This window comes from Homo sapiens, chromosome 1 (genome assembly GCF_000001405.40).
Source record: "Homo sapiens chromosome 1, GRCh38.p14 Primary Assembly".
Lineage (NCBI taxonomy): Eukaryota > Metazoa > Chordata > Mammalia > Primates > Hominidae > Homo > Homo sapiens.
Genome location: NC_000001.11, coordinates 54,080,811 through 54,095,193, shown reverse-complemented (window position 1 = coordinate 54,095,193; position 14,383 = coordinate 54,080,811). Strand labels below are relative to the sequence as shown.

The 14,383-nt window shown below is 39.1% G+C and overlaps 1 protein-coding gene and 1 pseudogene across 2 annotated transcripts in view, besides 1 other annotated feature; both read right to left on the bottom strand.

Annotated features, from left to right (window-relative positions):
- TCEANC2 (transcription elongation factor A N-terminal and central domain containing 2) overlaps positions 1-14,383 on the bottom strand; it is a 58,913-nt gene that overhangs the window by 17,327 nt on the left and 27,203 nt on the right. For both annotated transcript variants that reach the window (NR_130900.2, NM_153035.3), the window contains one exon: positions 6,404-6,597. Coding sequence is in view for 1 of the 2 variants with exons in the window: in NM_153035.3 (NP_694580.1) it covers positions 6,404-6,597 (194 nt within the window). In the remaining variant the exon portion in view is untranslated. The remainder of the gene's footprint in view (positions 1-6,403; positions 6,598-14,383) is intronic.
- COX7BP3 (COX7B pseudogene 3) lies at positions 4,972-5,401 on the bottom strand (annotated as a pseudogene).
- Positions 13,393-13,442: an enhancer, noted in NCBI's record as "active region_1053". NCBI's record gives its function as "activates an Ori minimal core promoter by ATAC-STARR-seq in GM12878 lymphoblastoid cells {active_cell/tissue: GM12878}" and the evidence as "EXISTENCE:reporter gene assay evidence [ECO:0000049][PMID:35858748]".

Below are 14,383 nucleotides of genomic sequence, written 5' to 3'. Positions count from 1 at the left end.
TTAGTCACTATCATCATATATTATAAATGAAGTATATACTTTTATTTTACAGATACTGTCTCACTCTGTCACCTGGGCTGGAGTGCAGTGGTGTGATCAAAGCTTACTGCAGGCTCAAACTCATGGGCTCAAGTGATCTTCTGGCTTCAGCCTCTCAAGAGCTAGGATTATTACAGGCATGCACCACCATGCTCCGCTAATTAAAATTAAAAAAAAATTTAGAGATGGGGTCTTGCTATGTTGCCCAGACTGGTCTTGAACTCCTGGCCTCAAGCAATCCTCCCACCTTGGCCTCCCAAAGTGCTGAGATTACAGGCATGAGCCACTGCACCCAGCCAATGATCTATATTTTAAGTTTGTCTCTCCTAGTAGAAAATTCCTTGAAAATAGGAGACAAATTTCTCTCTCTCACTTCCTTTTTTACCTTTAACCTTTCTCTCCCTACCTTAGCCACTCATTCAAACATTTATTCAGCACTATGTGCCAGGCTCTGTGCTTGGGCTGAGCAATAAACAGTGACTAAGGCAGGCTCAGCCCTTGGGCCCTTGGGCAGCCTAGTCTAGTAGGACAGACAGACTGTGAACAGGGGTTGTAAGGATCCTGTGCACCAGGAGAAAGGAGAGGAACCAGCGCTGTGGAGAACACAGCCATGGCAAAGCAACCCAACCCAGGAGGGCAGTGCCTGGCTTCAAGAGGAAATGAAGTTTAATCTGAGACCTGGAGCATGAGTAGGATCTGGCTAGGTGAAATAGGTGTTTACTTTGTGATAAATTCACTGAGCTGTACATATATGTTTGTTCTTCTGTGCAAAAAGCAAAGTTCAAAAAAAGAAAAAACACACCCCAAATAAAAAGGGGTCACCTGACATTTAATAAAATGTCCTAACATGAGAGACAGATGGACCAAAGTAAGTAGAAAAAACAAACTTGTCAGATATAAGGACCAAGCAAAGAGCAGAACAGGACTGAAAGAGACAGAGAGAAAGAAAGAGAGAGAGAGTGAATATCCAGGCCCAGATATCTGCCTTAGTCTAGCCGACAAAAGGTGCTCACAAAAGTTTGTGGTCCTAATGACAGACAGATTATTTCCAAGGCTTGTGCTGGAGTGAGTGGACTTGGCGCTGTGGTTCTCTAGAACCCAGACTCCAAGTTTTTCCAGGCTTCCTTTCCGGGCACTGAACTAGCCCCCTGAGGCAGGCCTGGCACCAGACTACTTTAGGAAGCTGGAAAGGTGGCTAGCTGGCTATCCAGCATTTGTCCTGCAGCATTTGCCAGAAAGAAAGTTCCTTATCCCGGTATGAGGCTGGTTAGTCTCCACTGATGGTTAGAGATACACTTAGCATGAAAGTCTTTTTTTTTTTGAGGGGAGTCGTTATCAAAGAAGAAGGGTATATGTGTTTGTAAAACAAGTCATGGCCACTCCAGCAAATTATAGTACCTGTATTAAAAAAAAAAAAAAAAGTACTCTGAGAGTATCTTGGAATTCACATACTTCATTCAGCAAATAGTTAACTGAATTGCTACTCTGGGTCTAGCCTGCTCTTAGAGAGATAGAACAGAAAGGATGTGAACCCTGCCCATCACAAACTCACATCCTAGAAGTGGGTAGGAACCTGGGGGTAGGCAGCATGACAGGTGCTATGCCAGCAGTGTGGTGGTAATAGAAGGCAAGCATCTAACAATTCTCATGCATGCCTCTTGTTAAATGAAGACCAATCAGAATTAAGAAATGGAGAAAAATATGTGACATTAAAATCATAATAGAAAATGATTCATCATGTACCTTATGTATAACAAGTTTGTTGCAAAGTGAAGAATACCTGTCTTGTAAGTGCCTTTGGGTAATCCAAACCCACCCAAGTTGATGAGTCCTTTCCAGTGGGTCCTAATCTGGTGCTTTAGGTGAGCCCTTCTGGGTGGAAGGACCAGAGTTTCACCGAGTCCTTGAGAAAAGGGCTTTTGCTATGAGATAATTTGTATGAATGGGAATGAGGATAGGAACACTGGGAGAAACCTAGGGATTTATTTAGAAATCGATCCTTTCTCTGTATCTCTCACGGGCTGCCTGGTCTCTTTCTCACATGTTTTTGCTCTTCTCCATGGGCCTTACTCACTAACAATTCTAACTGCCTTATTCTCTCCTCCTATGCTACACATCTTTTCTCTACTCACAGCTCTGCTTCCTCACAACTCCTCCAATATCCTTTCTGTTCAACACTTGCACTGTTGTTTTCTTGGTATCTCCTAGTTCACATTTCCCAGAGACAGAGAGTCAGAATCCTTATTTGTTTGTGCCTGTGAGTTAAGTGTGTTATACAGCTAATTCTGGATGAACTAGCTATAGCTGGAGGAAGATATAAAACATGACCACCTTGAGCTCCTTCATCAGTGGGAAGTGGTGTCATAACCAATTAGTGATGTCTGCCACATGCATAAGCTCTCTCAGGGCATGGGAACAGGGTCTTCTTCATGCGTTTACCTTAAGTGCGGAACTTCCCACAGTCTTGTAACTATCTATTTGTCTGTCTTCCTCAGAAGACTATAAGGACTGCTAGAGTTGAAACCATGTTGTATCCATTTCTAAACTGTGCATGCCTAGCTAGCATAGGTTAGTGGCACATAGTAAATGTTCAACCAATATTTGTTAAATGAATGCCCTTCCTTCCCATGTGTAACCCTTCTTTCTTGCCTTCTAATAACATCATATATATAGCAGATAAAATATGTTTCTATTTTATGTGTATGTTCTAATTAGCAAAATCCTACACCTCTTACAAAGGCGGGCTCCACTGCCATCTCTTCTCCGAAACATTCCCAGATTCCCCCATCAGATTTAACTGCTCTGCACTTTATGTGTTGATACTTGCTAGTACCATTACTTCAGACTGCCTCATATTTTAATTAATCGTTTATAGGTTATCAGCCAGGAGATAGTAAAGCTTTCTTAGGATAGGGAATGCGACTCATTCATGATTGTCTTCTCCCCCAGCACCAAGTAGATCCTTACTAAACATCTGTTGAATTGAATAGCCACTGGAAGCAAACTTTGTGTGGGTTTTCCAATAGCATGATTGAATTTGTACATATCTACCCACACTTCTTTTTGACCACTTGAATACATTAATGAGAGAGCTGGTCAAAGCCAGGGGTGCAGTCTGAGGCCATTAAACAAAGAAAAAACTAATAGTCCCATATGGGGACGTACCCCTGACCTGGATCTCATTAGCACCATCTGACAACCAACTGAGCCAACCAGCCAGTGTTTCATAACTCTTAATGATACAGGCTCACTTTGAGAATCAGGTTCATTTTTTTAAATGACATAATAGGAAAATGATCACAGGCCGTGAGGTAGGAAAGGAGAGTGGATAATGAGGAAGGGGAAGTAAGAGAATGACACCACAGGGGATGTTCATATGAGGAAAGATCTAAAAGATGGGGAAGAACAAAGAAGATCTGGAAGGGAGAAAGTAAAGGGGAATGGAGCCTGGGTTTCAACGATGGAGTTTTTATTCATCTATTTCACTATTCCAAGAACAAGGAAATAATCCATGAATCTAGAAAGCAAGATCTGTAGGGTAATAAAGAGATGCACCTTTAGGCTGTGCGTTATTATTCTTCATCTATGGCTTTCACTATTAAAGGATATGAGTGAAACAACATGGAAACATTTTTTTTCTACAAAAATGTAATGAGAAGATTTGGTATTTGCAATAACACATGCTAGGATCAAATTGTAGAGGCTTTTAAGTCACTGGGCCAATAACTTAAACCCAATGCTTTACTGCTGCCTGATTAAGTACATTTACGAAGATCTGATGTCTGATTTGAACGCACTCAACATTGGTTACTGTCAAAGACCAGATACTGAATTAGATGGTTCATTGATTTGCTCTAATATGGAAATATCTCAGATGATGATAGGTGCTAAGAATTAACCTTATATAAAAGTGCTTGTATTTATATTCTCTGACATAACAAACTGATAAACATGCTATCAAATGCTGTTTATGCAAGGAAAGCAGAGTGATTTTTTTTTTTTTTGGCTAAGGACGACAGTGAGATGCATACTTTTAATTTTTTAAATTTACTCTTTGGGAACAAAACCATTCAGCTATGCTTAATCTGATATTTTTTCCAATTATGTTGGAAAACACTAACAAACATATCACTTTTTTAACTTTGCTTTATAACACTTGAGTGCTTACCACTTGATGTGCCATTTAAAGGATAATTAATGGATAAACTAAAAGGATAATTATCGTGGAGTTTAATACAGTAGGCAAACTGCTCATTAATCCTTACAAGCATAGCTTTGTTATTATCATTTACTTAAAAAGATACCACAGGAAATTGGTATTTACCACCACATTAACTACGTATTATATATCCACACTGTATGTTTCTGCAGTAATTTTGACTTATTTCAAAACTAAACTTTATTTAAAATAAATCTTGTTGGCTAATCGATACTCTGGAAAATCAGACTTACAACTTTCATACTTTGTTCTCTCTTCCAAGGGTTTAATACTCATATTAAAGCTTCCTTTAGGAAAAGTTAAGTGAACCTCCAGCATAGCAATTCACTGAACTATCAAATAGTCATTAAAAATTATAAACATGAAAAAATAAAGATATATAGAAAAGGATATAAAAAATGACACTAACTAAAATTGATCAAGATTCAAGAGAACACAAATGTAAATAATTACATCAATATTCTGCAATGTTACTTAAATAATCAATAAAAATATCTTATGGAACATTTGGCATATAATTCACTCTATATAAATCTCAGATAATCATAACTTGCCCAACATTCATTTAAAAACCCATAATAATTTACCAAAAAAGGAAATGTGCCAATGTGTTAACAAGATTATGTCTGGGTTACATTTTTTTCCCTTTTATACATTTTTCTCATTTTCTATTAGAAGTTTGTATTTAAAAACCCAAAACTTTATTTAGTTTTTTAAGGTTTCAAATGTACTTTATTTCTTCAATAATGCCATATCTTAATGGGTACACAGTGCTTTAACTTGGCATCAACTACGAGCTGTTTTTTAAACAATTCATTATTACACCAGCTGGAATGATTACTGATCTCTCCATTCCTTTGGGGTGACCCTGCCAACAGGGGACAGGTTCCATTCTATTCTGATTTGTGTTGCTACCTATGTCCATATAGCAATACAGAAAGTGGTTCCACTAGCTAATACAGCACTACCATATTTATCATGAAAATCAGGTGTACGTTTCCGGTGGCTCTGCCTTGCCATTGTTTGCTGAATGCTTCAAACTTGGAGACGACTTGGTGCGTTTTTGACCAAGAGGAACATGGTGAAGGTGAAGACAGAACTGTGGCAATGCAGCTGCTGCTTTGGTGCAAATTCACTTCAGGTCCAAAACTTTATTTTAAAAAAAGTAAGTACTATATCACAAGTCCTTCTTTTGTAGATAAAAAATTGAGATAGAAAGGCTAAAATTTTTTTTAGAGACTGTAGTAACAGAGCTAGCATTTAAATCAGACTTCTGAATTGCTTATTTTATTAATATTAAATTGTTCTTTAAGGATACTTTAGCAGAGTTGCTCTGGGATATCCTGGGATAAGGAAGAAACATGAATATTATATGTCCTATTTTCCAGAGTATTAATCGGCTTATAAGATTTGTTGTTTGATGACAATGAATATTATTATTAATGAGCAAAAATCCTTCTTCCAGCATGTATACTTCAAACCACTAACATCATCTGAATTGTAAGCCATGAAGGTGTTAGGGAACAAGTCTATCCAATTGATTTTATGCCTTAAAGCTAAAGATATGGCTGTTGACAAAAAATGGGGGATCTGAGTCTTTTCAATAGACAGCTATTTATTTTACCATTGATATTCCATAACACAGTCCATCACAGAATTTTTACTTCAGCAAGAAGGGAAGGAATTTTAAATGGGAAGTAACCAACATCCATTAAATAACTTCTAATCAGCAGGCACTACTATTCTTTTGCATATATGATTCATTTAACCTTTTTAATACCTTAAGTGGTAGGACTTACAATCCACATTTTACAGATTAAGAAATCAAGTCTCAGAAAACGTTAAGCTATCTGCCTAAGGTGTCACAACTAGAATGTCAGGGTTTCAACCCAGATCTTGCTAGTTCAAAAGCCTGCCTCCTACAACACTGTCTCCCGGAATGCTTATAAATCCAGAATCCTTAAAGAATAACTGGTTAAAATAAAGCCACAGCATTAAGATTATGAAATCTTAATTATGAAATTATGAGGCGTTTAACCAAGAGCACCTACTAATCACATCCGACCAGGACATTACCTTTATTTTTCTTCTTTTAAAAATTAATTATTATGGGTACATAACAGTTGTATATATTTAGGGCATTACCTTTAATTCCAAGGCTTCTGAGAGTAATTTCTGAGCATTTTTCCTCAACGACTCGGTTTTGGGATCACTTCTAACTTCAATAGAAGGTCTATTTGAATGTTTTTCAGTGAAAGTTTTCCACTCAGTGTAAACTTCTCTGGCAAGAGAAGCCACTTCTGAATCTGAGTGTTTACGCATCTTGTTCACAGTGTGACCTGGAACAGGAAGAGAAAAACCAAAGGAAAGGTTGTTACATCTTCTTCTGAGAAGCGCAGGACTAGATGGACTGACGTGTGGCACTGAGAAAGTCATTCACACACCCAAGGATGTAAAGACTCTTGTGCAAAAGAAACCCATTTCACAAGGACTAAGATAATAAGATAATCACTGGGGGAGAACCAGCAGCCTAGCCAATGAATTAAGTCATAAACTAGAAGCAAAATCAATAGATTCTTAAAAAGAACAACAAAGGTAACTTCTTTAACCAAAAATTACTTTAAAAAAAATGAATTAAGCATTTATCTAGTTTTTTGGGGGAAGGGGGTACATACTGTATTTCAAGACAACAAAATAGCCCTAGTTATTATGGGAATATTATTTAGCTAATAAATGTGAAAAGACTGACAGAATGAGAACATTTTTTTGTAGCCCTGATGAAATAATTCATTCAGAGACAATCATCAGTGGATGAACTCATTCAATGAGTCTGATGGGGAAATTTATAATGGAGGGATGAGCTGTCATCATCTAAACCCACTGTTCAATGTTAGCATCCCTAAGAGTGGGACTGTCAGACAGAAGAAACAGAAGAAGTACTTCGCACCCTTAACCTATGAAGTAGTCTTATCCTCTTCCCCAAAAGAAAAAGAACAATAACCCAGTTAGTCATTCAAAGCTAACTTCCAATTCATAGGAAATAGGAGAGACAGAGGAATAAATTAAATTGTAGTATGAAGAAACAAGACAAATTCTGAATGTGGGACATTCTACAGGACAACAGATATGGTTTCTTCCACAGTCAGTGATTTTTCTCTTTGTTGTTGTTTTTTGTTTGTTTTTATTTTTGAAAAGGGGCTAGGGTTAGGGACTGCTGTAGATTAAAAGAATCTCTTGAGTACAAACTACCAAATGCGACGTGTGATTCAAATCCCAGTTGGAACAAACCAACTGTTAAAAGATATTTTGAGATAAACAAGGAATATGAATATGCACTAGATACTAAATTATACCATGGAATAATTGTAAACTTTGTTAAGCACAATAAGAATGGCACTGTGATTACAAGAGAAAATATCCACATTTTTTAGAGATGCATACTGAAGTATGTAGAGTTGAAATGACAAAAGGTCTGAGATTCTACTTTAAAATACCTCAGCAACAACACAAAAGCAAAAAGGGAAAGATGAAGTGGGACAAAATCTTAATAGTTATTGAATCTAGATGAAGGGCATATGAGAGTTAGTTATAATATTCTCTTTATTTTTGTGTATGTTTGAGAATTTCATAATAAAAATGGAAAAAAGGTGAAGGGTCAAAAATATCAATATGCAAAGTACTTAGATAAAAATAAATACCTAGAAAGGCTAAAGAAGTCAACTGAACACTTAAAACTAAAAGTTTAAAAAATGGAAGAATATAAGATACATATATATTTTTTAATTTTTTATTTTAATGAACTTTTTAATCCTGCTCCATGGGTTGAATATAAGACAGATATATTTTTAAAAACCAATAGCTTTCTTAAGTCAGCAATAGCCAGTCAGAACACCACAGGGGAACAAATCCTGTTTAAACTAGTAAAAACTATAAAGCACTTTGGAAAGCATGGACAAGAATGGGTGTGTGAGCACTTGTGCTGTCTGTTTGTGCCCACTTCCTTAATGCTCCAGGATTCCTCCTTTTCCTCCATCCCTAGCCCCGCTGCCCTGCCTTAGGGCATGTTGCCTCCAGTTGACTATGGAGGCACCCTGATTGACCTCTCCAGCTAAGTTTGGTACCCCTTAATGCCATCTTCCACACTGCAGCTAGGATAGCCTTTATTTATTTTTAGTGTTTTGTTTTTTAGGGACTTTTTTCCTAAAGCATAAATTTGACCATTTCACTCCTCCACTTAAATCCTTTGGTGCTATATCCACTCTTACCTTTTCATAAAAGTCCCTTCACAATCTGCCACCCTCCTACCTACTTTCTATCTTCATTTCCAGCTACTATCCACTGTCATCCAATACTCCAGCTACTTGCAGCTCTTAAAACATTTTATTTTTTATCTCTTTACTTTTGAGCATACACCCCAATGAACATTCTGTCTGCCTGAAATACTCTTACTTCTCTTGTTATCTGGCCAACTTCCATTCGGCCTTTAAGACTCATTTAAGGGTCCCTTCCTCCAGGAATTCTTCCTTAATATCTCTAGTCTTGGTCAGTACCCCTGCTCTCTGCTTCCTTAGCACCTTGCGCTTCTGTTTATCATGGTAATTACTAGAGTTAGTTGTAATTATTTGATCAGTTATCTCTTTTGTTCACCAACTTGAGCTTCTTGCAGAAAGAGCTATGCAAGAAATCCCCTAACCTTAGGGGATGCTCATCTTTGTATCTCCAGCAGTGAGCATCGTGGCAGGAGATGGGAATCAGGAGAGCAGGTTGGTTGAATGAGAGACTCATATAAAGAATAACATACATTCCTACTAAAATACATAACAGAAGATTGGAATAAAGGGAAAATATACCTTATTATGAGATGGAAAAATGAGCACAAAAATGCCAATATAGAAAGTAGTCGCCTGGGTGCAGTGGCTCATGCCTATAATCTCAACACTTTGCGATGCCAAGATGGGAGGATCACTTGAGCCCAGGAGTTCAAGACCAGCCTGGGCAACATAATGAGTCTCTATCTCTACAAAAAATTAAAAAATTAGCCAGGTGAGGTGACATATGCCTGTACTCTCAGCTACTTGGGAGGCTGAGATGGGAGGATGGCTTGAACCTAAAAGTTCAAGGCTATAGTGAGCTGTGATCATGCCACTGCACTCCAGCCTGGGCAACAGAGCAAGACCCTGCCTAAGAAAAGAAACAAAAAAGAAATTAGTTTATAGATTTTATGTAATCTCAACCAAAAATCTCAGTAGGCTATTTTTATTAGATTACAACCAAATACTTCTACACAAATATAACTGAGCAAGAGTATAAAATGCTATTTTGAAAAAGAGGAGTTATGAGGCACAACTAGCCTCATATCTAAGATCTAAGATATTAGAACATATTATAAAGTAACAACATTGAAAATGATATGGACCAACACCAAAAAAGAAAATGGATAGGGAATTTTAAAAAATGAAGGTCGCAAACAGACCATAGTACATAAGAATTTAATACATAATGAAAGAGGCATCATTGAACAAAGGGAAACAGAAAAAAAATTTTTATTTGAGAAAATGGTCAAAACATTTAGAAAATTTCTCCAATTATGCCAACTGCATGGCCCAATATTGTTTGATTCCTTTATTCTCCACACATTTATTGAAGGCCTGTTTGCTCTAGATACTATGCTGGGCACTAGTCATGTAGGGCTTAAACAAGCAATTGTCCCTGCTTTACAGGTTCTATGAAGAGAATCCTGGAGTTGAAAAATAAAACTTTGAAGGGAAGACAGGGTAAAATAATATTGAGTCTTTAACTTCTCCCTCTAACCAATTATTTATCAAGAATTTGTACCTAGCCTTTCTATGGACCTGGGAAAGGAGTACATCAACACTCATCACAAGGAGGAAGAGGAGGAGGAATGCAGAGCACTCATTAGAAATGTCTAAAGGTGCTTCCTAGCTAGCGATGCTTAGGAAAGTGCATTCCAATGCACAAAGCACAAAGCACCCCTGGATACTTTCCTTTTCTAGGTGGAGTTCTCCTTATCCCTGAGATTATTCATTCAGCAAGCAAGATTTTATGCTCTTGGTCACTGTAGTAGATGCTAAAAATAAAATGATAAATAAGATCGTACAGGATATCAGACCTAGATCCAGAGCATTTAAACACTTTTTTTTTTTTAGACGGAGTTTTGCTCTGTCACCCAGGCCGGAGTGCAGTGGCCACCATGCCTGGCTAATTTTTGTATTTTTAGTAGAGACGGGGTTTTGCCATGTTGGCCAGGCTGGTCTCGAACTCCTGACCTCAGGTGGTCCACCCGCTTTGGCCTCCCAAAGTACTGGGATTACAGGTGTGAGCCACCGAGCCCGGCCCATTTAAACACTTTTACCGGGCATTTACCTTATGCCTGGTGCTGAGGATACAGAGATGAGGAGAACACAGCCCTGGGAATTTAGCCTACATTTTACCTGCCAAAGTGTACAAAGAAGACACATGTACAGAAATATTCATTCCAGTATTGTTTGTGATAGTGAAAAGCTAGGAACAACCTACAAGCTCATCATTAAGGGTCCTGTTTTTTAAATAAATTATAGTCCATTTAAACAATAACTACTTTGCAGCCATTAAAAAATAAAATAGGCTGGGTGCAGCAGCTAGCGTCTGTAACCCCAGCACTTTGGGAGGCTGAGGTGGGTGGAACCCTGGAGGCCAGGAGTTTGAGACCAGCCTGGCCAACATGGCGAAACCCTCTCTCTACTAAAAATACAAAAATTAGCTGGGCAAGGTGGTGAATGCCTATAATTCCAGCTACTCAGGAGGCTGAGGCATGAGAATCGCTTGAACCTTGGAGGCAGAGGTTGCAGTGAGCCAAGATCACACCACTGCACTCCAGCCTGGGTGACAGATCAAGACGGTCTCAAAAAAAAAAAACCCGACAAAACACTAAACTAAAATAGCTCTACATGTAGTAACCGGAAAAATGATCACTTTTTTTAGTTTAGTGAAAAAAGCAGGTCTCAGAGCACACATAGTGTGAGTCAATGTTTATTTTTAAAACTACATATGTGTATACATATAAACAACATTTTTGTTTATATGCAAAGAAAAAAGCCTTAAAGAATTTACAATAAAATTATTAATGGTGGTCTCTTCTGAGTAGTGGGACTGTGTGTATCCATGCAGTTCAGCTCACAATCTAGTGGGCTGGCTCAACATGTCAACAAACCTAACAGCCTGGGCTGTGTTATAGTAGGGCAATATTCAGGTTTCTTTCAGAAAAGAGATCCTTCCCTTCATAAGAGTCTCACCTTAACCTTTTCTCTCTCCAAGAAACGCACTGCTGACCCAGCTTTATGTATGAGAAATAATACAGAAGTCCCTCAAACAGAGAGTCCTTTGACTTGGTCGAATCCAGCAGTCCTTCTCCATCCTGACATTACTTGGCCTCTCTGTGGCATCTGACACTGGCTTTCTTACTGAAATATTCTCTTGCATTGCTTTTGGAGACAGCACCTGTTACTGAGTCTCTTCTCCTCTCTATCTCCTCTGCTGGCTGCTAATCCTTTGCCCAATCTTTAATTATCTGTGAACCCCAGCTAGGGCATGGTCCTTGGCCTCTTTTCTTTCTCCACTTGCCTTCCCTGAGTAATCTTGCCCACTCCTGTGGTCCAGCTACCTGCAGGCAGATGACTCCCAACTACGTGTCCCTAGCCAAAGGTTCTCACTGAGCACGAGACCAAATATCCAGTCCCCTACTGGACATCTCCACCTGCTTATTCTGCAAACACCTCTAACTCAACATTTTTGGTCACAGAATGGCACCACCACCCACCCACCATTTTAGGATCCACTGTCTCTTTCAACCTTATGTTCACTCAGCCATTCCAAGTCATATAGATCTACTTCCTTAATTCTCCCTCTATCTTTTACTCTTCCTCCTCGCCTGTTCTCCACTCTTACTACCCTGATTCAGGTTCTCATCACTTCTCCACAGGTCTACTGTATTACTTCACTAACCAATCTCTGTCTCCAGTCCTGCCCTCTCCAATTCATCCTCTCTACTGAAGGCAAAATGACCTTTTTCAAACACAATTTGATCATACCATACGCTTAATAAAAATCCTCCGATGGTTCTCCATGGCCCTCAAATTAACTTCTAACATAGCATTAAAACTCTGGATGACCTAGAATCTCTTTGGCCTCACCTGTCACCATGTCGCCCTCCTTCCTCCCTCCCCTCACTTTCACCCCTCCCACTCTTTTGCCTCTGTACACTAACTTCTAGCCATAGAGAGCAGCTTGCATGTCCCTGTTTGGGGTCATGCTGGCTGGCCTGCTCCTACTTCTGTGCCTTAGCTCATACCATTCCCTCTGCCTAGAATATTTAAATGTCCATCTTATCCTCAAAACTGTAAACGGGTTGAGGGCAGAACCTGTACCTTACTCCAAGTTCTATTCCCAGCCCCCCAGCATAGTGCCTAGCACAGAAGAGACAATCCATAAATGTTTGCTGAATTGAATCAGTTAAATAAAAAACATTTACATTTGACTTTCAAATTGGTTTTGTACTGACATTTGAATATGGATAGAGGTGATTAGGAAAATCACACAACTGCAAACAAAATAATGAAACTATACTGTAAAGAAATGAATCCAAAGGTGCTGAGAAAATGAAAAGTTTCTAATTCTTATCCACTGCTGAGAATTTTTCCTGCTTATCACTCCAGGCTTTGTATGAATTATCTCATTTAATTTTTATAACAATGACTTAAATACCATTATTATATCTCTTTTTACAAATGAGAAACCTAAACTCAGTAAGGCACCTTGCCCAAGGTCTCACAGCTAATAAGTGTGGAAGCTAGGATTAGAACACAAGCAGCCTGACTCCACCTCCAGAACCTGCACACTTAACCCCTAATACATTATACTTCTCTGTTATTAGGGACTGGCACACAGGAAGTCTTCAATAAGGCTCTATTGAGATACTGTTATTCACATTCTTGGTATTCCAAAATCAGAAGAGCACAGGCCCTGAGAGGTGGCCGAAGGACAGAAAGCTTCAACTCTCAGGTCCGGACAGTGGAGTCACTGCTTTTGGCCTGCAGGGGGCAGTACATCCCTCAGATACTCCCACAAGAGCCATGCCCAGACTGGTCAGGAGTGTTCTGTCAACACCAGCCAAACCAGCCCAGGAAGCGTAGGTAGGGCTGTAAAGGAGCCCAGTGGGGGATGCGACTTGTCAGCAAGAGGGAAGAATTTCCAAAGAGGACTAACAGCAAAAAGGCAATTCAGTCTGGGGCAAGAAAGAGAAGGAGTCTGGGAAACCCTCTACTAGACAAAAACAGAGCAGAGTCATAAATTTCAGATCACAAAGGGAATTTCATGATAACATTAATAATGACAGGCTGCGCATGGTGGCATGCCTGTAATCCCAGCACTTTGTGGGGGCCAAGGCAGGAGGATCGCTTGAGTGCAGGAGTTTGAGATCAGCCTGGGCAACATAGTGAGACCCTATCTCTACAAAAAATTTAAATAAATAAATAAATAAAAGAATTGACTGGGTATGGTGGCACATGCCTACAGTCCCAGCTACCTGGGAGGCTGAGGCAAGAGGATCGTGTGTGCCCAGGAGTTCGAGGCTGCAGTGAGCTATGATCACGCCATTGCACTCAGCCTGGATGATAGAGTAAGACCCTGTCCCTAAAAAAATTATAAAATAATCATAATAACAGCTATTGTGTTAACCACTTTACATATATTAATTCATTTAATCCTCAGAACAACCCTATGAAGTAGGTGCTATAGTTCCCCATTTTACAGGTAAAGATACCTGAGGTACTGAGAGGCGAGGTAACTTGCGAAAAACAACAAGAAGCCAGACCAGGTTTCATATATAAGCAGTCTGGCTCCAGAGCCCACGCTTTAACCCTCTACTATTCCCTCTGGTGATCAGATAGTCCTACATCCTCCTGATTCAGATGAAAAAGATGAGGCTCCATGACCTTTCCCCAAGGTCATAAGTTGGCCAGTAGCTACATCAAGGAAGTTAATGATCTGCAAAAAGTCATTATTTGCTCCATGAAGTTTATGTTTTAAAGTAAGCAGTGCCACTGGCTGGTCTTATGACCCAGGTCAAGT